General features: G+C 41.7%; 1 long non-coding RNA gene across 1 annotated transcript; it reads right to left on the bottom strand.

Annotated features, from left to right (window-relative positions):
* Positions 1 to 9,895: 9,895 nt before the first annotated feature.
* LOC107987061 (uncharacterized) lies at positions 9,896 to 25,664 on the bottom strand. The gene is made up of 3 exons (XR_001746648.3): positions 25,607 to 25,664; positions 12,504 to 12,564; positions 9,896 to 10,210 (listed from the first exon to the last, which is right to left on the bottom strand). It is a non-coding gene; the product is annotated as an uncharacterized LOC107987061 (long non-coding RNA).
* Between the last annotated feature and the right edge of the window lie 95 nt (positions 25,665 to 25,759).

Below are 25,759 nucleotides of genomic sequence, written 5' to 3'. Positions count from 1 at the left end.
TTGTATTTTTAGTAGAGACAGGGTTTCACCGTGTTAGCCAGGATGGTCTCGATCTCCTGACCTCGTGATCCGCCCACCTCGGCCTCCCAAAGTGCTGGGATTACAGGCATGCGCCACTGCACCCGGCCAGAAGCATGTCTTATTTGTATGTTTGTATGTGCCCCAGTTAGGGTTCACAGATGAAGTACAGCATGCTCAATTAAGTTTGTATTTTTGATAAACAATGAATTATTTATTTAGGTTTTTTTTTTTTTTTTGAGACAGAGTCTCACTCTGTCGCCCAGGCTGGAGTGCAGTGGCCCAATCTTGGCTCACTGCAACCTCTGCCTCTCTGGTTCAAGCGATTCTCCTTTCTCAGCCTCCTCAGTAGCTGGGATTACAGGCATGTGCCACCACACGTGGCTAATTTTTGTATTTTTAGTAAAGACGGGGGTTTCACTATATTGGCCAGGTTGGATTCGAACTCCTGACCTCAAGTGATTCACCCGCCTCAGCCTCCCATATGTTGGGATTATGGGCGTGAGCCACTGCACCTGGCCTATTTTTTTATTATATAAGTGTGTTCTGTGTTGCATTTTTGTTTGCTAAACTTGGCAGCCCTTGCCATGTGTATTGCACAGTGGGTGCTTAGTTCAGTGAATCAATCAAAATTGGGTTCTAGTTTTAGTCCTGTGACACTGGCAGAGTATTTTTATTCTTAGTTTTGAAGGTGGAAAAAAATCTGAAGTTAATGGACTCTAAATCTTTCCCCAAGGTTACCTAGTTAACTAATTGCTCAGCCTGGCCCAGGACACATACATACACTTGACTCCCAACCAAACTAGTATGCCTTTGCTTAGTTTTTTCCCAAGTTTTGAATTGAAGAACTTAGATTCTAAGGATTTGTTCTAAAGGATGATTATTTTTCTTGTCCTGTCCCTGGAATCTCCATATTTTATACATACATACATACATACATATATATATATATATATATATATATATATATATATATATGTATAATATATATACACACATATATAATATATATTATATATATTAATAATATGTAATATATATATATATACACACACACACAAACAATCTTGTTAGATTACTAACTCTAAAAACTATTTGGGGGAAAACAAATTGAAAGAAGTTTTCTTAATTATGTCTTAAGGGAAATAAATGGTAAAAATCTTTCAATTTCCTTTTTTGTACAGTAGAGGGAGACAGTATTAGAATACTGAAAATAAAATCTGTGGGTTACTGAGGCTTACTTTGTGGACACTAAGAGAGAACAGTACTAAAATAATTTGCTCTCCATGTATTCAGATATCTTGATTGTATTTCACTGTTCGGATATCTTGGACCTTTGTGCCTTAAGAAAAGATGCATTTTGCTGGGGAGAATCTGCTTAGTATTAGAGCTTCTGTAAAATTTGCAGCTTAAAAGGGTGATTTCTGTGCTTTTGAGAATTCTCTTTTCTTTCCCACCTTCAAGGTTGAATGAATGTTGCATGTCCATGTGTAGTCGGTGGTTAAATGTTATTAATTTGAGTGATAAATAATTTGCGATGAAAGTAGGAAGAGAAAGAGGTAAAACCCTGAAATTAATGAAATAGCATTTCTTAACTGTTTTACAATATAATATCTAATATGTTTTTCCAAGCCAGGATTCATATTTTTTCAGTATCTCTGATAGTTATTTCTACCTTTTGCTGAATATAACTTTCATGTTAGCCTATTAATTTTTTAGAAATTAAGAAACTATAATTTTGTATTTCTTCTTGTTAATTTAATGACACTCTTCTCTGGTCACAGTCTCAGAATTGTGACTTTAGTGTCACCTATATTGTGAAATATTCATTTTAAAAATTAGTTTTTTTTTTTTTGAGACGGAGTCTCACTCCGTTGCCCAGGTGGAGTGCATTGGCATGATCTCGACTCACTGCAACCTCCGCCTGCTGGGTTCAAGCAATTCTCTTGCCTTAGCCTCCTGAGTGGCTGGCACTACTACAGGCACACACCACCATGCTCAGCTAATTTTTTGTATTTTTAGTAGAGATGGGCAGGCTGGTCTCGAACTCCTGACCTCATGATCTGCCCGCCTCAGCCTCCCAAAGTGCTGGAATTATAGGCATGAGCCACCGCGCCTGACATTAATTTTTATTCCTTTTAAGAATTAGAATTCTCAGTCTTTTGGGGTGAATTTGCCCTTGTGGAAATGTTGTTTTCTTCCTATTTTTAGTCAGAATAATTTTTCTGTATTAAACAATACAAAATGTGAAAGCCTGGAATTGTGGGAATTAAAAATGTATGTCTTAGAAACAAAATAGCCTCCTTTTCTCTCACTAAAATTTGAGAAGTTTTAAAGTAATCCCTTTTTTTAATGTTCAGAGAAGAATATTTGTATGTTAAAGAATCCTGGTGATAATGTAATGGAATGGGGTATCTGGGCATGATGCTCCTGCTTATCTGAATACATATATATGGGAATTTTAAAAATTGTTGCGTTAACATCTTGCTTCATACAGTGGTGGTGATAATAGTGAGAATTGTTTAATTTTTTTTTAACTGAGTTAGTTAAAAAAAATCCACAAATTGTAGATCTTGGAATGTATTCTTGTTACTTTTCATATATTTTGTAACATATATTTATATATTTTTAAAGAAGACTTTTACTCTACATAATTTTTAAACAGCTATACATTGTCAATATTTTTATCATGTCCTTACATATTCAACAGCAAAGTATTTCGTCATATGCATGCACTGTACCTTATTTAGCCAGCTCCATTTTGTTTGTCCTGTGGATAATTATAATAGCTGTTTTGACTGTTTTACCACATGCCAGGCACTGTACTGTGTATTATCTCATGTAATTCTCATAGTTACTGCATGGTGTAGGTATTTTTATCCCCAGTTTACAGGTAGAGAAACTGAACTCAGAGATGTTAAATAATTTGTCCAGGTTTTTCGGATTATACTGATGAAGCTACTGATAACATTCTGTTGTCAGTTATTTGCCAGAAAGAGTTCTTTATTTTTCTTATACATAATATCATTTATTCTTGAGAACCCTAAATGAGTTATTCTTGGGAACCTAAATGAGTTAGGGCCTACTAAGTCATTTGCAATACAATGCAATAGGAGAAACTGAGGCTCGCTGAGATTAAGTTGCTTGCTTATGGTTATACATCCAACAAATGGCATCTATTTCCGACTCTTTCTGTTTACACAACTGATTGTTTTTGTCCCAACCCCTGCTTATTTCTGAGGAAATAAGTAAAAATTCTAGCTGAAAAATACATTTCTAGCAAATTTTTTCATATTTTGACTCCCTCTTCTCTGAAATACGGATAACAGTCTTTTTTTAATAGGGTGATTTTATTAAGTGAGATAATGCATGTGAAGCATGTAGCACACAGGGTATATAATAGTCAATAAATGTTACTAGTACTATTTCTATTATTTTATTTTGGTTATTTAGATTTTTATTCGGGCTGTAAAAGCAGTAAATGCGTATTATACCATATCATAGAAAATCTGGAAAAGATAAAGGAACTTAGGAAGTAATCACTCAGACTCACCACTGATGACATTTTAGCCTGTTTCCCTCGGGATAACTCATTATTTCCTGATACATAGGTCGATCACTACACATGACACATACTGGAATCTTTTTACTTATGGGAATGTCTCTTCTGATTAATTACTTTAAGAAGAACAGAGGCTGTGTCCTCATGTACCAGCACTGTTTCTAGCTCAGAGTAGGTACTCAGCAAATATTTGAAATGAGCTGTTAGAAGCTTGAGAGAAGACCTTTCAGGTCTTCTCCATTCATTGCCATTTTTTGCATTTAAAAAATGATTATAAAAAGATTTTAGTTTAAAGACAAAGAAGGTAGATGTACTAGTTTGAGCTCAGGAAGACTGAGCTATTATCAGACAAAGGAATTTGATGTAACAATGAAATGTGCAAAGAGCTCAGTAAGAGTGTGTTGGGAAGGTTGCATTCTGTAGATCGGGGGAGCAATTATTTAATGAGTACAGTCTTGAAGTATATGGTTCTCAAAAGTTTGCCAATAAATTGCCCCAGCTCTTTAGTCTGTGGGAAATATCTCTTCTTGTTAGTCTGTAGTGGCAAGTGGAATCTTACTTACCACTTAAGATGGTGGTGTCTGGATATCATGGTTGCTTAACTGTAATGACATCTCTTTAATTTTGAAGTTTCTTTCATTGGAAAAAATTAAACTCTGTGCTATGCAGAGGAGACTTTAGAGGTGGATGGATGGTAATACATATAATGTTGAGAACTAATGATCCAGCACAGTAAGGATTCTTACTGATAACCCATGAATACTCTTTCGGGATATTAACACCTTGAGAGCCTTCCTGGTACATGTGAGAGTAACATTCAAGCAAACTACCAAAGTTTTAAGTTAACTTTTAAAGTATTTTTGACTTAAATGAAAATAGAATGGTTTCTTAATGGGTGCAATAAAAACCTCTGAAATTGGACTAGTGCTAGTTCTAGAACTATCTTCCAGAATCAAGACTTAAAACTTCATTTTTAAAAACATTGAACCATTTGAAAGTGCAAGCATTGAAAGTGAATTAAGTGTAAAAAGGAATTCATAGAAAATTAGCCCCTCCCTTCTTTTCCTTTTTTTTTTCTTTGCTGGGGGAGACAGGGTCTTACTCTGTTGCCTATGCTGGAGTGCAGTGGCACTATCATGGCTCACTGCAGTCTCAACTACCTGGGCTCAAGTGATCCTTCCACTTCAGCCTCCCAAAGTGCCAGGATTACAGGTGTGAGCCACTGCACCCAGCCTCCTTTACCTTTCTAAAAAATATGCTTTAAGTGGTTTATTACATGCAGCTATTTTGGTGAATGATTAAGTACCATTTCAAAAGTGGAGGTCAGCTTGTCTCAGCTGAAACGGGTCATTACTAAGAGCTTTTCCTTTGGCTTTATAAAGGCCTCTCTGCGCATACTGCACACTTACTCAGGTTATGATGGCTATCAGTAGATGTGAATACTAGTCTGTGCTGCTTTTCAGGTGAAACAAGGAACTTTTTATAGATGATGTGTACATAGTTACAGGAACATGAAGTGTGAATATAGGGTGCCCTGTGGCCAAGTTTAGTGTGGTGGTGAACACAGTACTTTCCAGGCCCTCATTTTTCAGACGAGTTGAAAATTAAAGGAGCAAGATGCAGTTTTAATCTTTCAGATAATATTAACAGTTCTTTTCAGTAACTGTTGCTGTGTCATTGCCAGCTATTGGATTTCTGTCTCCTTTTGATAAATATCCCAGCAGTGACACCTTAAAGTAACCAGAGTACTGTCATTTAATACTGTGTATGAGAAATTATTGGTGGTATATTACTTTATAAAAAACTAGCTGGGCACAGTGGCTCACGCTTGTAATCCTAACTGCTCGGGAGGCTGAGGCGGGAGAATCACTTGAACCCGGGAGGCAGAGGTTGCAGTGAGCCAAGATCACACCACTGCACTCCAGCTTGGGTGACAAAGACTCTGTCTCAAAAAAAAAAAATCATAGTTTACTTTAGGGAATTCTAGAGATTCTTGTGAAATATTTGTTTTTATGTATGTAGAGTTTAAACATGTAAATTACACTGAAGATACTATACTCTGCCCTTATCCCGGTGACATGGTTTTATATTTTTCTTATTATGAAAACAGTTGTTTATTACATTTCTTTGCTCCTAAAGAAAATAAAAATAAACACTCAAAACCACATACCCCACATACACATACCATCACGTGATGTCTGATTAAAAATGTTGGCAACTTTCCCTATGTTAGCACTTTGTTAGGGTATTTTAAGGTGCAAATTTTGAAGGTCTTTTTGCTAAAGGCAGATGGTATAAAGATTACTAGGAATTGCTAGTTTAAGTGAGTCATCTGATAAAAAGAAGTCAAAGAACCTAGGGGTGAATGGGCTTCTCTTTTTGTTAAGTCTGCCTTTTGATTTTTTAATTCTGTTTGCAAAAGTAATGATCCTTTTCATGGAAAAAAGTTAGAATATAACATTCTAACTCAATTCTTCATTTAAACTGTTTTATATAATGTTATGGTGCTTACTTTAATATTTGCGTTAAAAATTCTGATTTTAGCCAGTTAAAAATAGAGGTGAGAGCATTATTTGAATAAAGAAAACAAAAGGTAGGTATAAACGCTATGTGAGTGTGTGTTTAGGCGTGAGGATAGACTCAGGACTAGCCTTGATTAGAGAGTAAAAGATGCTATTAGGATACTATTAATTTTTCATTTTAATAAGTGAACTTAGTCTAGCATTCAGAAGTTCTTAACAGTCTGCCTTCTGCTTCTTTTTCTTTTTCTTTTTTTTTCTGAGACGGAGTTTTGCTCTTGTTGCCCAGGCTGGAGTGCAGTGGTGCAATCTTGGCTCACTGCAACCTCCACCTCCCAGGTCTCAGCCTCCTGAGTAGCTGGGATTAGAGGCATGTACCACCGTGCCCAGGTAATTTTGTATTTTTAGTAGAGACGGGGTTTCTCTATGATGGTCAGGCTGGTCTCGAACTCCTGACCTCAGGTGATCTGCCCACCTCAGCCTCCCAAAGTGCTGGGATTACAGGTGTGAGCCACCACGCCCGACTCTGCTTCTTTTTTATCGTGTTTTTCACTGCTCTGATTTTTTTTCAAGTCAAGTCCTGAACTTGACGCAAATTGATCTTCTCCATACTCCCCTATGTAGTGTCCTTGCATACCCCAGTGCTCCAGTTAGGCCATTCCCTGTGCCTCTTGCAAATGCTTTTGCCCTCCAAAGCCCTTCAGAGTGTATAAAGCCTTTCCTCTTCACAGTCAGGTGTGGTCTCTGCTGAGCTTTTAGCACATTTATTTATTTAGAACTTCAGTAACTTTCTTAAAGTATCTCACGTACTTCCAAATGGTCGAAGATGTGTCTTTAATATTTTAAAAATCCAGCCAGGTGTGGTGGCTCATGCCTGTAATCCTAGCACTTTGGGAGGCCGAGGTGGGAGAATGGTTTGAGGCCAGGAGTTTCAGACCAGTATGGGCAACATAGTGAGACCACGTCTCTACAAAAAATAAAAAAATAGCTGGGAGTGGTGGCACATGTCTATAGTCCCAGCTACTCAGGAAGCTGAGACTGGAGAATCACTTGAGCCCAGTTCAACACTGCAGAGAGCTGTGATCCTTCCACTGCAATCCAGCCTGGGAGACAGAGCAAGCCCCTTTCTCTACAAATAAAATAAAAATCCCCACCATCTTGAGGACTATACCATCTTATACTGGGTGTTTAGTAATTCTTTGTTGAATGAATGAATGCAAAAATGTTAGTATTAGTTGTATTATGTTTACACAATGAAATGTTTCTCCACTGTAAAACAGGTGAATGCACATGTAAACACAGTAATTATTTTAGAATCAGATTTCTTAATAGTGGCATTATTGACATTTTGGGGGATTGCCCTGTATACTATAGGATGTTTCGTAGCAACTGTGGTCTCTACTCACTAGATTTCATTACCACATCTCCCCTCAACTCCAGTTGTGACAACTCACAATGTCTCCAGACACTGCCATATATATTTTTGGTGTTTCAGAGAAGCTGAATAAAAGTAGATCTCTCCATATTAACTAAAGGATAATGGTTAACATCTGTGTGGTACTTTGCGTATAAAGTGCTTTCACATATATCACTCATTCATTCATTTGTTAAGCATTTATTGAGCTCTGCTACGTGCTATACGCCTCTACTGGACACCAGAGTATAATATACTGGTGAAGTACTCCTTGAACTTGAGGCATCATCAAAAATGTGACTTCCCATGAAAAGCCTTCTCCCACTTTGTTAAGTCACTCTGCCCTTCTTATTGTCTAATGCCGCACTCTGTCTCCTTTGCAATATTTTCTATTCTTCTCTCCTTAAGGGTAGGTGTCGTGTCAGTTTCTGCCACCTCTGTGAGGTCTTGAATGCAAGACCTAGTGTACTGCTAGGCCCAAAACAGGCACTCAATGAAACCAGTTGAGTCAGTGGAAGAATGGATGAAAGCAACATGCTTATTGGAAAGAGACAAGCCAAGATTCATTGCTACACAATATGATGGGTACCAAGGCAGAGAAGTGGGTTGCGGGCATTGCGTTAGTCTGTTTTGAGCTGCTATAACAGGATACCACAGACTGGGTAATTTATAAAGAACAGGAATTTGTTTCCTCACAGTCCTGGAAGTTAGGAAGTCCAAGATGAAGGCACTGGCAGGTTCATTTATCTGGTGAGTGTCTAGTCTCTCTGCTTCCAAGATGGCGCCTTGATTGTTGCATCCTTGAGGAGTGGGGGAAGAATGCTGTGTCCTCATATAACAGAAGGCAGAAGAACAAAAAGGGATGAACTCCCTCTTTCAAGCCCTTTTATAAGGGCACCTAATCCCATTCACAAGATAGGAGCCCTCGTGGCCTAATCACCTTTTAAAGGCCCCACCTCTTAATAGTATCACATTAGCAACACTTAGTTTTAGATGAGGCACATTGAAACCATAGCAGGTATAAAAGACAAGCATTTAATCAGACTGTTTGTCAGTTGATAATTTTTCTTTCCCTCCAGGAGACATGTCTATGAGTGGCTGAGAGACCTGTTTAATTCTGGGGTATAGAATTAAGATGGCCACCTGCCTGCAAGTAGAGATAAGCTGCATTCTCCCAAATCAACTTTGTTCATAATAAAAGGAATGTTCTGGCCTCCATATGCCATACTCTTTATTGTCAATTTCTTAAATAGTTCACAACTTGGTTAGAGAAGAGGCAGGCTATCTATTGCCCCATCCTCTACCTTTTTTTCTTTTTTAAAAAAACTAAATACCTAATTGCTATATTGTTATTCTTTTGTCTGTTAGTGCTCTCTTTAACACGTATAAAAATAGACCAAATTGACATGATCATATTTTAGAAAAATACTATTTTCTTTTTTTTGAAAAGGAAACAGAAAAAAAAGATAGATGGCTTAAATTGTCTACTTATCATAACATAGAATTAGAAATCCCAGTCTTTGTGGCTGCCAAAAAAAAAAAAAAAAAAAAGAATGGCCAAAAGATGAAATCAAATAAAAGTCTTTCACGACTCTCTTCCTATGACTGTTAATATGAAGAAACTTAATAGTTCTGAAAATAAAGATGTAAATTGCTGCAGAATATAAAACAGGATAAAGTCACAATAGCCAAAATGTGGAAGCAACCCAAATGTTCATCTGTGGATGAATGGATAAACAACATGAGGTATATATGTACAATGGAATATGATTCAGCCTTAAAAAGAAGTACAATTCTTACATATGCTACAACATAGATGAACCTTGAGGACATTATACTAAGTGAAATAAGCAGGTCACGGAAGGACAAATATATGATTCCACTCATGTGAGGTACCTAGAATAGGCAAATTCATACAGACAGACAGTAGTTTCCAGGGGCTGGGGGTAGGGAAGAATAGTTAGTGTTTAATTAGTATAGACTTTCTGTTTGGGATGATTCTTTTAAAAGTTCAGGGGATTGATAGTAGCGATGGCTACATAACAATGTGAATGTACTTCACACTACGGAGTTGCACAATTAAACATGGTTAAGATGGTACATTTTTGTGTATTTTAGCATAAGAAAAAAAATTTAGGGCTGGGCAAGGTGGCTTACATCTGTAATCCCAACACATTGAGAGGCCAAGGCGGGAGGATCACTTGAGCCCAGGAGTTTGAGACCAGCCTGGGCAACATAGTGAGACCCCATCTCTAACAAAAAATAATAATAATAATAAATTAGCCAGACCTGGTGGTGTGCGCCTATAGTCCCAGCTACTCAGGAGGCTGAGGCAGGAGGATCACTTGAGCCCATGAGTTCAAGGCTGCAGTGATCTGTGATCATGCCACTGCACTCCAGCCTGGACGACAGAGTGAGAACTTGCCTCGAAAAAAAAATTAGTATGATAAAGCGCAGACCATGTATATAATGAAGATACTTCAACCATTTGAAGGAGTGTTCTGTTCTCAAGCCAAATAGAGAACCACATACTATCCCAGAAAAAAACACAGTTAGCAAAGGATCCAGGGAAGCTAGAAAGGCTGGTGTTTTGTGGCTGAGGTCAGTAGAGATGACTGCTCTGTTCATGGAATCCCATGGGTAGTTATCTTCATCTTCTTAGCCACCAGTGACAGGGTACTGCTTGACAGACTGACCCTGTGGTGTGAATATCACATACATTATCATTGAATTTTTGAAACACCTTATAAAGTAGACATTCTCATTTATAGGAATTTAATACCTTTCTGAAATTTGCTAAGTAAGTGGTGCAGCCAACACTTAAACCCTAGATCAGCAGACTCCAAAATTGAAGTACTTTCCTCAGTATATCCCAAGAATAGCTTTAGGAAGAATTATATGGATAATCTGGAGTAAAAGGAACAGGAATTTCTTCATTTAGGTCAGCGAGATGTGCTGACAAGATGACCACAAATGCAGGAATGTTGGAGTAGTGGTTAATATTTAGATGAGAAATCCTTAGAGTTTAAAGAGTGGAATAGCAATGCAAGTTTCTGGCACTACTTCAGTAGGGCTATCTGGAACTGATTGAAGGGGAAAAAATTAAAGCCAGAAAGCTCAGTGGAGCAGATGTCATAGTGGCCACAGCGAAACAAAGATTTTCAAAATGAGATGCTAAGTGAGAAACAACAACTGAGGAGAGAAGTAATTTCTCCAGGGTCACAATGGGCATAAGGAGAATCGTTCTTTTAGACTCTGGGTGAGCTCATAGTAATCCAAGCATTGGTGATGTAGGCCACTGAGTTCTGGCTTTGAGTACATCTCTAATCCTTAAACCTTCACTAAGAGGGAGGTGAAGGGAGTCAGGTGTGCCACATGTCTGGCCACTGAAAAATGCCTAGATGGGAAAGGAGTTTGAAATATTGTCCTAAAATGAAGTTTCTGAGTTAAATGGGCCAGATTTCACCATGTGTTCACTGTTATTATTGTGTAAAATGAAGAGATTTAAATGAGATTAAGATCTTTAATTAGCTTTCTGAGATATTGAAATTTAAGAACCTGGCCAGGCACAGTGGCTCACGCCTGTAATCTCAGCACTTTGGGAGGCTGAGGCAGGCGGGTCACCTGAGGTCAGGAGTTCAAGACCAGCCTGGCTAACATGGTGAAACTGTGTCTCTACCAAAAATACAAAAATTAGCCAGGCGTGGTGGCGCATGCCTGTAATCCTAGCTACTCGGAAGGCTGAGGCAGGAGAATCGCTTGAACCCTGGAGTCGGAGGTTGCAGTGAGCCAAGATTGTGCCACTGCACTCCAGCCTGGGTGATAGAGTGAGACTGTGTCTCAAAAAGAAAAAAAGAAAAAAAAAGAAAGAAAAGAAAACTAAGAACCCAGTGACCTCTGCCGCATACATTGCCTGACTTTGGTTAATGTGGTGACATACTGAGCCCCAAACTGGCATCTGTAATCTCTGATCACTTCTGCACCAAAGCTGTTAGCCTAACTTGGCAATGAAGGCCAAGCTAAGAAGAGTAAGGAATTATGAAGCACAAAGCATAGAATATCAAAACTAGAAAGAAAAATATCTGTTTTCCTAATGCTTTCATTTTATAGGTGTGGAAAATTGAGGACCAGGGAGAGTACCTTGCCAGCAATTTTGTAGTTATGGTTTTAGATAAGAGCTGCACAGTGTTAGGGGAAATTCTGAATGGTGTTCAAGTCCTCCAGCCAGCAGCAGCAGAATGTGGTTTTTCATGTGCACTATGCAAGTAGTGCTTCAGATGGAGCTTATTCTTATTTTTAAGTTATTTTATTTTTTATTTGATTAATTCATTTATTTTTATATATTTTAACAGATTTAGTGACATAAAATTATATATGGTGTACAATTTGATGGTTGATACACACATGCATTGTGAAATGATCATCACAATCAAGCTAATTAACCTATTATCACCTCTTCACAGTTACTATTTTGTGCATGCATGCGTATTTATTTTATTTCTGAAATAATTTTAGACTGACAGAAAAGTTGCAGAAATAGTACAGAGTTCACATATATCTACCACTTTGCTTCCCCGATGTTAAAAACTTATATAACTACAGTTCAATAATCAAAATGAGGAAATTAACTTTGATACAATACTATGAATTAAACTACAGCCCTTTGATTTTCACCGTCTCCTCCCCCACCCCCTACCATGCCTTTTTAATGTTCTAGGATATAATCTAAGATCCCACATTGCATTCGTTTCTATGTCCCCTCAGTTTCCTCCAGTCTGTGACAATTGCTCCGTATTTCCTAGTCTTTCATGGACTCTTGATGAGTACTGGTCAGCTGTTTTGTAAAATGATCCTCAGTTTGGGTTTGTCCATGTTTTCCTCATGATTAGACTGAGGTGATGGGTTGGAGGGAAGAAGAACACAAGGTGAAATGCTCTTGTTATTTCCTATCGGGTACAGGATGCCAATGTGGCTTATTAGTGATACTTACTGCGATCATTTGGTTAAGGTGGCATCTCCCCGGTTTCTTTATTGTAAAGTTTCTTTTCTCCCTTTGCAAATGATAAACATCTTAGAGATGCTTTGAGACTATGATAGCATCCTGTTTCTTCTCAAACTTTTGGCTGCTGATTTTCGCATTCCTTGGTGGATCTTGTCAACGGTTACTAATGTGGTGTTCAAGTGGGGATTTTGTATTTTACTCATTCCTTCTACATTAATTGGAATTTTGTAAGGAAGAAGTGTCTTTTCTCATACACTTATTTACTGAATTATTTATGTATGTCCATATGGATTTATGGATATTTATTTTGTCCTACGGGATTGTGTTAGTTCTTGCCTTGCTATAAAGGAATACCTGACACTAGGTAATTCATAAAGAAAAGAGGGCCGGGTGTGGTGGCTCACTCCTGTAATCCCAGCAGTTTGGGAGGCCAACGTGGGCCAATCACTTGAGGTCAGGAGTTCAAGACCAGCCTGGCTGAATAGTACTTGGTTGTGTGAGTGTATATGTGTGTGTGTGTGTGTGTGTGTATATATACACACACACACACACACACATATATATAGTCACCCAGGCTGGAGGGCAGTGGTGCGATCTCGGCTCAGTGCAACCTCTGCCTCCCGGGTTCAAGTGATTCTTCTGTATCAACCTCCCGAGTAACTGGGATTACAAACGTGTGCCACCACACCCGGCTAATTTTTGTATTTTTAATAGAGACAGGATTTTACTATGTTGGCCAGGCTGGTCTTGAACTCCTGACCTCCAGTAATCCACCCGCCTCAGCCTCCCAAAGTGCTGGGATTACAGGCATGAGCTACTGCACCTGGTCAAGAAAGGCACTTTAGACAGTGCCCGAGTTGAGGATTTGGCCTGTGACTCGCTGCAGTTGCCACACTGTGGCCTTAGAACAGTCTTATCCAGTCCTGAAAACCCCAGTGCCTTGGAAACATCAGGACTGGTCAGAAGGACAGTAAGTCCTCAAGGCACCAGCCCCTGCTCCTCCCCCAAGATCGCGGGGTATTACAAACTCTCTGCAGGACCCATATCCTGGGTGTGGACACCCAGTCCTGCTAGGACCTGCTTTGAGAAGAGTTGATCCCAGCCATGAAACAGCCTGATGCCTTCAGTGAAGCAAGCAGGAAAGGCCCAAGTGATCCTCCTGTATCAGCCTCATGAGTAGCCAGTAGCTGGGACCACAGGCGGCCACCACCACAGCTGCCTAATTTTTTTTGTAGAGACAGGTTTCATCATGTTGCTGTTCTGGAACTCCTGAACTCAAGTGATGTACCTGCCTCAGTCTACCAAAGTGCTGGGATTACAGGCATGAGCCTGTGTATACTCTGTATGTATATATATATATATATACACACACACAATAAGGTATGAGTTTATAGATTCCTGTTCTCTGTAACTAGTGACTATGTTCCCAGGCTGGTCTTGAACTCTTGGGCTCAAGCGATCCTACTGCCTTGGCCTCCCCAAGTGCTGGGATTACAGGCATGAATCACCAGACTCAGTCTAATTTTTGTATTTTTTTGTAGAGATGGGGTTTTTCTATGTTGCCCAGGCTGGTCTCAAACTCCTGGGCTCAAGCAGTCCATCTGCATCAGCCTCCCAAAGTGCTAGGATTACAGGCATGAGCCATAATGCCTGACCCTTTGCCCACTTTTAAATGGAATTATTATCATGTTTTACTGTTGAGGTATTTGAGTTCCTTGTGTATTCTGGATGTTAATTCCTTGTTGGATGAACAGTTTGCAGATATTTTCTCCCATTCAACAGGTTGTCTCTTCACTGTGTTGTTTCCTCTGCTGTGCAGAAGCTTTGTAGTTTAATATAATCCAATTTGTCTACTTTTGTTTTTGTTGCCTGTGGTTTTGAAGTCTTAGCCATAAAATCTTTTCCTAGACCAGTGTCCTGAAGTGCTTCCCCCTATGTTTTCTTCTAGTAGTTTTATGGTTTCAGGCCTTATGGTTAAGTCTTTAATCCATCTCGAGTTGATTTTTGCATATAGTGAAAGGTAGGAGGTTAGTTGCGTTCTTTTGCATATGGATATCCACTTTTCCCAGCACTATTTATTGAAGAGAATGTCCTTTCCCCAGTGAATGTCCTTGACACCTTTGTTGAAAATCAATTGGCTGCAAATGTATGGATCTATTTCTGAGTTTTCTATTCTGTTTCATTTTATACCTGTTTTTATACCAATACCATGATGTTTTGGTCACTAGAGCCTTGTAATATATGTTGGAGTCAGATAGTATAATGTCTCCAGCTTTCTTTCTGCTTAGGATTGCTTTGGCTATTTGAACTCTTTTTTTGTTCCATATGAATTTTAGGATTATTTTTTCTACTTCTGTGAAAAATGACATTGGTATTTTGATAGAGATTTTATTAAATCTGTAGATTGCTTTGGGTTGTATGGTCATTTTAACAGTATTAATATTTTCTGATCCATGAGCATGGATTTGATTTCCATTTCTTTATGTCCTCTTCAACTTCTTTCATCAGCGTTTTGTAGTTTTCCTTGTAGAGGTTTTTCACCTACTTGAAACCCCGTCTCTATTAAAAATACAAAAATTAGCCGGGCACGGTGGCTCACGCCTATAATCCCAGCACTTTGGGAGGCTGAGGCGGGCAGATCACGAGGTCAGGAGATCGAGATCATCCTGGCTAACACAGTGAAACCCTGTCTCCACTAAAAAAATACAAAAAATTAGCTGGGCGTGGTGGTGGGCGCCTGTGGTCCCAGCTACTCCGGAGGCTGAGGCAGGAGAATGGCATGAACCCGGGAGGCGGAGCTTGCGGTGAGCCAAGATCGTACCACTGCACTCCAGCCTGGGCAACAGAGCGAGACTCCGTCTCAAAAAAAAAAAAAAAAAAATACAAAAATACAAAAATTAGCTGGGCGTCATGGCGGGCACCTGTAGTCCAGCTACTCAGGAGACTGAGGCAGGAGAATGGCTTGAACTCGGGAGGTGGAGGTCGCATTGCACTGAGATCATAACACTGCACTCCAGCCTGGGCAACAGAATGAGACTGTCTCAAAAAAAAAAAAAAAAGTTTGATCCCCGTAAAAGTCATTGTTTATAAGGTCAGAATTAACCTTCCTAAAGCAAATATTGTTCCCTCCTGTTTATCTTGCCAAGATTTCCATATCTTTTCTTTTTGAAAGAAAGATAACCAGTTTAAGAAGTGCCACAGGCTGGGCGCCGTGGCTCACACCTGTAATCCCAGCACTTTGGGAAGCTGAGGCAGGAGGATCACAAAGTCAGGAGATCGAGAGCAACCTGACCAACATGATGAAACCCCGTCTCTACCAAAAATACAAAAATTATCTGGGCATAGTGGTGCGTGCCTGCAGTCCCAGCTACTCGGGAGGCTGAGGCAGGAGAATCACTTGAATCAGAGTCAGAGGTGGAGTTACAGGTTGCAATAAGCCAAGATCACGCCACTGAACTCCAGCCTGGCAACAGAGTGAGACTCCGTCTCAAAAAAAAAAAAAAGTGCAACCAGGTGCGGTGGCTCACGCCTGTAATCTCAGCACTTTGGGAGGCTGAGGTGGGCAGATCACCTGAGGGCGGAAGTTCGAGACCAGCCTGGCTAACATGGTGAAACCCTGTCTCTACTAAAAAAAAAATACAAAAATTAGCCCAGCGTGGTGGCTCATGCCTGTAGTCCCAGCTACTTGGGAGGCTGAGGCAGAAGAATCGCTTGAACCCGGGAGTCGGAGTTTGCAGTGAGCCAAGGTCGTGCCACTGCACTCCAGCCTGGGTGACAGAGTGAGACTCTGTCTCAAAAAAACAAAACAAAACAAAACAAAACAAAACAAAAAAACAGTCTGAGTCTGAGCAACATAGTGAGACTCTAAAAAAAAAAAATTCTTCCCGCCTCAGCCTCCTGAGTATCTGGGATTACAGGCGCACACTACTGCCCCCAACATGACAAATGTTTTGAGGGTTTTTTTGAACTTTTTATTTATTTATTTGGTCTTGCTGTGTTGCCCAGGCTAGTCTTGAACTCTTTGAGCTCCTGCTTCCACCTCCCAAACAGCTGGAATTACAGGTGTGAGCCACCATGTCCAGCCAACAAGTGAGTATTTAAAGTAAAAAAGAAGATGCAGTTTCCAAGTTGTTTACCAAAAGTTTACATTAAAATAACAAACTATAGATTGGCTATACCTACCTTTTTTTTTTTTTTTTTTTTTTGAGATGGGAGTCTTGTTCTCTTGCCCAGGCTAGAGTACAGTGGTGCAATCTTGGCTCACTGCAACCTCCACCTCCCGGGTTCAAGCGATTCTCCTGCCTCAGTCTCCCGAGTAGCTGGGATTACAGGCACATGCCACCATGCCTGCCTAATTTTTTTATTTTTATTTATTTATTTATTTATTTATTTTTGAGACAGAGTCTCGCTGTTGCCCAGGCTGGAGTGCAGTGGCATGATCTTGGCTCACTGCAAGCTCCACCTCCCAGGTTCACGCCATTCTCCTGTCTCAGCCTCCCGAGTAGCTGGGACCACAGGCATCCACCACCACGCCTGGCTAATTTTTTGTATTTTTAGTAGAGACAGGGTTTCACCGTGTTAGCCAGGATGGTCTCGATCTCCTGACCTCGTGATCTGCCTGCCTCGGCCTCCCAAATTGCTGGGATTACAGGTGTGAGCCACCACGCCCAGCCCCAGCTAATTTTTTTTTTTTTTTTGTATTTTTAGTAGAGATGGGGTTTTACCATGTTGGCCAGGGTGGTCTTGAACTCCACAGCTCAAGTGATCCACCCACCTTGGCCTCCCAAAGTGCTAGGATTACAGGCGTGAGCCATTGAGCCTGGCCTATACCCTTGTGTTTTGTATCACAAGTTCCAGGAACATGAAGATAATGGGTGAGGCAGCTAGTCAGGATCAAAATGCTTTTATTTGTATTTATTTATTCATTTATTTCTGAGACAGGGTCTCACTGTTTCCCTTAAGTGTAGTGGTGCGATCTTGGCTCACTGAAGCCTCAACCTCCTGGGCTTTCGCAATCCTCCCACCTCAGCACCCCTAGTAGCTAGGACCAATAATTAGCTGGGCTTGTGCAACACCAAGCCCAGCTAATTATTTATTTATTTTTTATTTTTTATTTTATTTTTTTGTGTGTGTCAGAGTTTTGCTCTTCTTGCCCAGGCTGGAGCAACCTCCACCTCCTGGGTTTAAGTGATTCTCCTGCCTCAGCCTCCCGAGTAGCTGGGATTACAGGCATGCACCACCACGCCCAGCTAATTTTGAATTTTTAGAAGAGATGGGGTTTCTCCATGTTGGTCAGGCTGGTCTTGAACTCCCGACCTCAGGTGATCCACCTGCCTTGGCCTCCCAAAGTGCTGGGATTACAGGCATGAGCCACCGTGCCCGGCCTATTTATTTTTTTGTAGAGACAAGGTCTCACTATGTTACCCAGGCTGGTCTTTAACTCCTGACCTCAAGCCATCCTCCTGCCTTAGCCTCCCAAAGTGGGGAGATTACAGACATGAACCACTATACCTGGCCAAATGCCTTTAAATCAGCGGTCCCCGCTGGGCGCGGTGGCTCACGCTGTAATCCCAGCACTTTGGGAGGCCGAGGTGGGTGGATCACGAGGTCAGGAGATCGAGACCATCCTGGCTAACACGGTGAAACCCCATCTCTACTAAAAATACAAAAAATTAGCTGGGCGTGGTGGCGGGTGCCTGTAGTCCCATCTACTCAGGAGGCTGAGGCAGGAAAGAATGGCGTGAACCCAGGAGGTGGAGCTTGCAGTGAGCAGAGATCCCGCCACTGCACTCCAGCCTGGGTGACAGAGCAAGACTGTCTCAAAAAAAAAAAAAAAAAGTCAGCGGTCCCCAACCTTTTTGGCACCAGGTTTCGTGGAAGACAATTTTTTTACAGGGTTGGGGGGAATAGGATGAAACTGTTTCACTTCAGATCATCAGGTATTAGTTAGATTCTCATAAGGAGTGTGCAACATAGATCCTTTACGTGCGCAGTTCACAATAGGATTTGTGCTCCTATGAGAATCTAATGCCCTGCTGATCTCACAGGAGGCAGAGCTCAGGCAGTAATATGCCCCTGCCGCTCACCTCCCACTGTGTGGCTGGTTCCTAACAGGTCATGGACTGTACCACGACCATACCGGTCTGTGGCCCAGGGGATGGAGACCCCTGCTTTAACAATAGCCTTTGGGCCAGGTGAGGTGGCTCATGCCTGAAGTCCCCGCACTTTGGGAGGTGGAGGCAGGATGATGATTTGAGCACAGGAGTTTGAGACCAGCCTGGGCAAGATGGCAAGACCCCATCTTTTAAAAAAAAAATTTTTTTTTTTTTTTTTGAGACGGAGTCTCGCTCTTGTCCCCCTGGCTGGAGTGCAGTGGCGCGGTTTCAGCTCACTGCAGCCTCCGTCTCTTGGCAGTTCACAGGTTCAAGCGATTTCTCCTGCCTCAGCCTCCCAAGTAGCTGGGATTACAGGCGCCTGCCACCACGACCAGTTAATTTTTGTATTTTTAGTAGAGATGGGGTTTCACCATGTTGGCCAGGCTGGTCTCAAACTCCTGACCTCAGGTGATCCACCCACCTTGGCCTCTCAAAGTGCTGGGACTGCACTTTGGCCACTGCACCCGGCCAAAAAAAATTATTTTTTTAATTAGCTGGGTGTGGTGGCATGTACCTGTGGTCCCAGCTACTCGGGAGGCTGAGGCAGAAGGATTGCTTGAGCCTAGGAAGTCAAGGCTTGCAGGTAACTGTGTTTGCACCAGTGCATTCCAGCCTGGGCTATAGAGGGAGACCCTGTATCAAATAAACAAAATAGCACAAAACAAAAATACATAAAATGACTTTGGACATGTGTGTGAGGGGTGCATAACTGAAGTCCTGTCCTCACCTCCTTGGGCCTGATGAATGTTGCATACCTCACATAGCTCAGACTGCTCTGAACTGTTTTCCTTTTCTCACAGTAATCTTTCTAATGTGCCCACGGCAATCTGTGCATATCATAGCACCACCCATGCTGCACTGCATTTATGTGTCTATTTCCTCTCAGCCTGTGAAGTGCCGTTGAGAATGAGCCATTCATTCATTCATTCATTCATTCAAAAAATTTATTGAGTGCCTCCTATGTGACAGGCCCTGTGCTAATATCAGGGATACAGTAGTAAATGAGACAGAAATAAGTGGTCCTTGCCCTTGTGGAGCTTACCTTCTGTCTCTGAGACAGAAACAGATAAAAACAAGTAGTTAGTAGATAATATTGTTACAAGTTTTGGTGAGTACCAGTGAAAGTGACTAAAAAGGTGCCTAATACTGAAAATGTTAGGGCAGGATACAATTTTATTTTAATTATATATTTATTTATTTTTGAGGCAGGTCTGCTCTGTCACCCAGGCTAGAGTACAGTGGTGCAGTCATGGCTCAATGCAGCCTCAACCTCCCGGGCTCAAGCAATCCCACCTCCCACCTCAGCCTCCCGAGTAGCTGGGACTACAGGTATGTGCCACCACACCCAGCTAATTTTTTTTTTTTTTTGAGACGGAGTTTCACTCTGTCACCCAGGCTGGAGTGCAGTGGCACGATCTCGGCTCACTGCAAACTCCACCCTCCGGTTTCAAATGATTCTTTCCTCAGCGTCCTGAGTAGCTGGGACTACAGGTGCCTGCCACCGCGCCGGCTAATTTTTTGTATTTTTAATAGAGATGGGGTTTCACCATCTTGGCCAGGCTGGTCTTGAACTCCTGACCTCGTGATCCACCCACCTCGGCCTCCCAAAGTGCTGGGATTACAGGCGTGAGCCACCATGCCTGGCCCACACCCAGCTAATTTTTGGTTTTTGGTTTTTGTTTTTTTGAGACAGAGTCTCACTCTGTTGCTGAGGCTGAAGTGCAGTGGCACAATCTCAGCTCACTGCAACCTCCGCCTCCCAAGTTCAAGCAAGTCTCCTGCCTCAGCCTCCCGAGTAGCTGCGATTACAGGCGCGTGCCACCAGGCCCGGTTAATGTTTGTATTTTTTTTAGTAGAGACGGAGTTTCGCCATGTTGGCCAGGCTGGTCTCAAAACCATGACCTCAGATGATCCACCCGCCTTGGCCTCCCAAAGTGCTGGGATTACAGGTGTGAGCCACCATGCCCGGCCTTAATTTTTATATATATAATTTTTGAGACAGTCTCACTTTGTTGCCCAGCCTAGAGTGCAGTGGCACAATCTCAGCTCACTGCAACCTCTGCTGCCTGGGTTCAAGCGATTGTCTTGCCTCAGCCTCCTGAGTAGCTGGGATTACACCTGCCACTGTGCCTGGCTAATTTTTGTATTTTTAGTAGAGATAGGTTTCACCATCTTCGTCAGGCTGGTCTTGAACTCCTGACCTGGTGATCCACCCGCCTCAGCCTTCCAAAGTGCTGGGATTACAGGCGTGAGCCACCACACCCGGCCTAATTTTTGTATTTTTTTATAGAGATGGAGTTTCACTATGTTGTCCAGGCTGGTTTTGAACTCCTGGACTCCCACCTCGGCCTTCCAAAGTTCTGAGATTACAATGCGTCAATTCTTGACCATTCTTGACCACGGGGCTTGATCATTAAGTATGGAATGAATAGTCAATTCATTTCACAGCTTTTTGGTCTTTCTTAGACTTCAATGATGCTGCTTCTTCCCCTCTGTCAATTCAAATTCAAACCATGCTTCAACACTTAGCACAAGCTCCATTTCTCCAGTAAATCTTATCAATCAAAACATTCTGAGCAAAGAGAGCAGCAAGGTCAAAGGCCCAGGAAATAAATCAAATTAGAGTAAGAAAACTCCCAAATAGTTCAATGCAACTGGGGCATAAAATTTGAGGGAGACAATGGTTAAAGGAAAGACGGAAAGGATTGACTATGGTCACAATCATTCAGTAAACATTTATTAAGTACCTACAATGTGCTAGGTATTGGGCATGTACACATGGTCCTCATTTTCACGTATTCACAGTCAAGGGCAAAAAGAGACAACTGGGCTGGGCAAGTGGCTCATGCTTATAATCCCAGTGCTTTGGGAGGCTGATGAGGGAGGATTGTTTGAGATTCTGAGGTCAAGACCACTACCAAATATTTAAAAATTAGCTGGGCATGGTGGCATATACCTGTAGTCCTAGCTACTTGGGAGGATCACTTGAGCCCAGGTATCCCAAGCTGCAGTGAGCTACAACTGCACTGCAGCCTGGGTGACAGTGAGATCCTGTCTCTAAAAAAATAGTAATAAATTTATAAATAAAAGTAAAACAAAAGGAGAGACAATTGATAACCAGAAATTGTAAAAAGCACTAAAAGGAAAATGGATGATATAAGAGAAACGTTTTAGAAAACATATTGGCCAGGCCGGGCGTGGTCGGTCACGCCTGTTATCCTAGCACTTGGGGAGGTTAAGGTGGGCTGATTGCCTGAGTTCGGAGTCCAAGACCAGCCTGGGGAACATGGTGAAACCCTGTCTCTACTAAAATACAAAAAATTAGCCAGGCGAGGTGGTGTGCACCTGTAGTCCCAGCTACTCGGGAGGCTGAGGCATGAGAATTGCTTGAACCCCGGAGGTGGAAGAGGTTGCAGTAAGCTGAGATCTTGCCACTGCACTCCAGCCTGGGCGACAGGGCAACACTCTGTCTCAGAAAAAAAAAAAAAAAAAAAAAAGAAAAAAGAAAATAAAGGAAGGAGGGTGGGAGGGAGGGAGGGAGAAAGAAAGAGAAAACATAACAGCCTGGGCGTGGTGGCTCACGCCTGTAATCCCAGTACTCTGGGAGGCAGAGGAGGGCAGATCACTTGAGGACAGGGGTTCAAGACCAGTCTGGCCAACATGGTGGCCTACTCTACTAAAAATGCAAAAATTAGCCAGGTGTGGTGGTATGTGGCTGTCATCCCAGCTACTCCAGAGGCTGAGGCAGGAGAATCACTTAAACTTGGGAGGTGGAAGTTGCAGTAAGCTGAGATCTTGCCACTGCACTGCAGCCTGCGTGACAGAGAAAGACTCCATCTCAAAAAAAAAAAAAAAAAAAGAAAGAAAACATATCTATATTTGTTTAGAGAACATATTTTAGGACTTTAGTTAAGACCTTGGCCGGGCACAGTGGCTCAAGCCTGTAATCCTAGCACTTCGGGAGGCCAAGGTGGGAGGATCACTTGAGTCCAGGAATTTGAGACCAGCCTGGGCAACATGGTGAAATCCTGTCTCTACAAAAAATTAGTCGAGTGTGTGGTGCACGCCTGTGGTCCCAGCTAGCCAGGAAGCTGGGGTGGGAGGATGGTTTGAGTCCAGAGGTGATATTTATGCTGAGAGGTGAAAGATGAAAAGGAGAAAAAGCCAAGAAAGCAAAATTCCAAATGGAACAAACAGCTTGGGTGAAGTCCCGGAGTTAGGAAAGAACTTAATACAACGAAGGAACTGAAAGAAAGCTGATGTTGCTGTAGCTCAGGGAACCAGGGGTGGAGTAGCAAGAAAAATGATGAGGGCCAGGCAGTGGCCGATGCCTGTAATCCCAGCATTTTCGAAGGCCGAGGCCGGCAGATTCCTTGCGCTCAGGAGTTTGAAACCAGCCTGGGCAACATGGCAAAAGTCTACACAGAAATACAGAAATTAGCCAGGCATGGTGGTGCGCGTGTGTAGTCTCAATTACTCAGGAGGCTGAGGTGTGATTCCACCACTGTATTCTAGCCTAGGCAACAGAGCGAGAACTTGCCCCTCTTCTCCCACAAAAAAGATGGAATAGCTGGGCAAGGTGGCTCACCCCTGTAATCCCAGCACTTTTGGAGGCTGAGGTGAGCGGATCACTTGAGGTCAGGAGTTTGAGACCAGCCTAGCCAACATGGTGAAACCTTGTCTTTACTAAAAATACAAAAATTAGCCGGGTGTGGTGGCATGTGCCTGTAGTCCCAGCTACTCTACTAGGGAGGCTGAGGCAAGAGAATCGCTTGAATCTGGGAGGCGGAGGTTGCAGTGATCTAAGATTGCACCTCTGCACTCCAGCCTGGGTGACAGAGCAAGACTCTGTCGCAAAAAAAAAAAAATAAAATAAAATAAAAAGAAGGAATAGCAAGTGAAGGGCCATATTGATCATGACTTTATGGAAGTTGAAGTTTGTGTTTAGTTTTAAGTACAATTGGAAGACACTGATGAGTTTTTAAAAGGAAGTGACATGATAGAATTTCTATTTTAGAAAACTAATTCTGGCAGCTGTGTGGAAAATGAATTGAAAATGGACATACCGCTCTTCTGAAACTTCCTTAAAAAGCTATCGCATAGCCGGGCGCGGTGGCTCACGCCTGTAATCCTAGCACTTTCAGAGGCCAAGGCGGGTGGATCATGAGGTCAGGAGATCAAGACCATCCTGGCTAACACGGTGAAACCCCGTCTCTACTAAAAAATACAAAAAATTAGCCGGGCGTGGTGGCGGGCGCCTGTAGTCCCAGCTACTTGGCAGGCTGAGGCAGGAGAATCACTTGAACCCGGGAGGTGGAGCTTGCAGTGAGCCGAGATCGTGCCACTGCACTCCGGCCTGGGCGACAGAGTGAGACTCTGTCTCAAAAAATAAATAAATAAATAAATAATAAATAATAAAAAAGCTATTGTATAAACTGACCTGCACTGTTTGAAGTCAGAATAGTGATTGTTGGGGGCAGAGTTACTAGAGGGCAGCATGAGGGGAGATTCTGAAGGTGCAGGAAATGTTCTGCTTATTTTCTGGGAGCTGACTATATGAGTATGTTTGGTTTGTTAGTATTCAAGCTTTACACTTGGGATATGTACATTTTTCCTTATGTATATTGTACTTCAATACAAATTTTTAGACTGGGCACGGTGGCTCACCCCTGTAATCCCAGCATTTTGGGAGACTGAGGAGGGCAGATCACTTGAGGCCAGAGTTTGAGATCAGGCTGGCCATCATGGTGAAACTCTGTCTCTACTAAAAATACAAAAATTGGCCTGGTGTGTTGGCGCATGCCTGTAATCCCAGCTACTTGGGAAGCTGAGCCACAATAATCAATTGAACCAGGAGGTGGATGTTGCAGTAAGCTGAGATCGACCCACTGCACTCTAGCCTGGGCAACAGAGGGACACTCACTCTCTCTCAAAAAAAAAAAAAAAAAAAAAAAAAAAAAATATATATATATATATATATATATATATATATATATATATTATATGGTAATAGTTGAATTTAGATGATCCTGCATTAGGAAATAAAATGAAACATATAACGGTTATTACTGGAATAACTGACAAAATTTAAAGATGGAATTTGTATACTAGTATTGAATCACGATTAAATTTCCTTAATTTCATAATCGGGCTGTGCTTACATAAGAGGTAGTCCTTGATCTTAGTAGATACATACCTAAGTATTTAGGGAGATGTGTGATTGGTTTTCAAATGGTTTTGCAAAATAATATGTAAATACATAGGTAAAGATAAACTTGGCAAAATAGTAACACTAAGTGAATCTAGGTGAAGAGTATATGCGCATTCATTATATTATTCTTGCAACATTTGTTTTAAATTTTTAATAGTTTAAAAATAGGCCGGGAGCAGTGGCTCAGGCCTGTAATCCCAGCATTTCGGGAGGCCAAGGTGGGCGGGTCACTGGCAGTCAGGAGTTTGAGACCAGCCTAGGCAACATGAGGAAACCCCATCTCTAGTGAAAATACAAAAATTAGACGGGTGTGATGGTACCTGCCTGTAATCCCAGCTCCTCAGGAGGCTGAGGCACGAGAATCGCTTGAGCCTGGGAGAGGGAGGATGCAGGGAGCTGAGATCGTGCCACTGCACTCCAGCCTGGGCGACAGAGCAAGACTACTCCAAAAATAAATAAATAAATAAATAAATAAATAAATAAATAAATAAATAAAAATAACTAAATTACTTGAAATTGTAATAAGCTAAGTAATAAGTAAAAACTGGAGAAAAGTCATAACAATAATTCGGGAACAAGATGATGTGACGGGCTAAACCTGGCAGTGAAGACACAGAAAAATGAATAAATTCAAGGTATGTTTTGGAGGTAGAACTGACAAGATTTGTTAACTGATAAGGTGTAGCAAATAAAGAAAAAGGGAGGAATAACTGCTGTAAACAAACCTGACCAAAAGGAACAAACTAGCTCCGCCCTTCCCGATTGCAGCCACGCGAAGGAAGTGAGGAAAAGAAAGCAAAGGCCTAGCTACGGGCAGGCTTCCGTTCTAGCGTCGCGAAGAGGCCGTAAAGCACAGAAACCCGTTTGTCCCCTCCCCT

The sequence above is a fragment of the Homo sapiens genome, chromosome 9 (assembly GCF_000001405.40).
Source record: "Homo sapiens chromosome 9, GRCh38.p14 Primary Assembly".
NCBI classification, from domain to species: Eukaryota; Metazoa; Chordata; class Mammalia; order Primates; family Hominidae; genus Homo; species Homo sapiens.
This window is presented reverse-complemented; position numbering and strand designations above follow the sequence as displayed.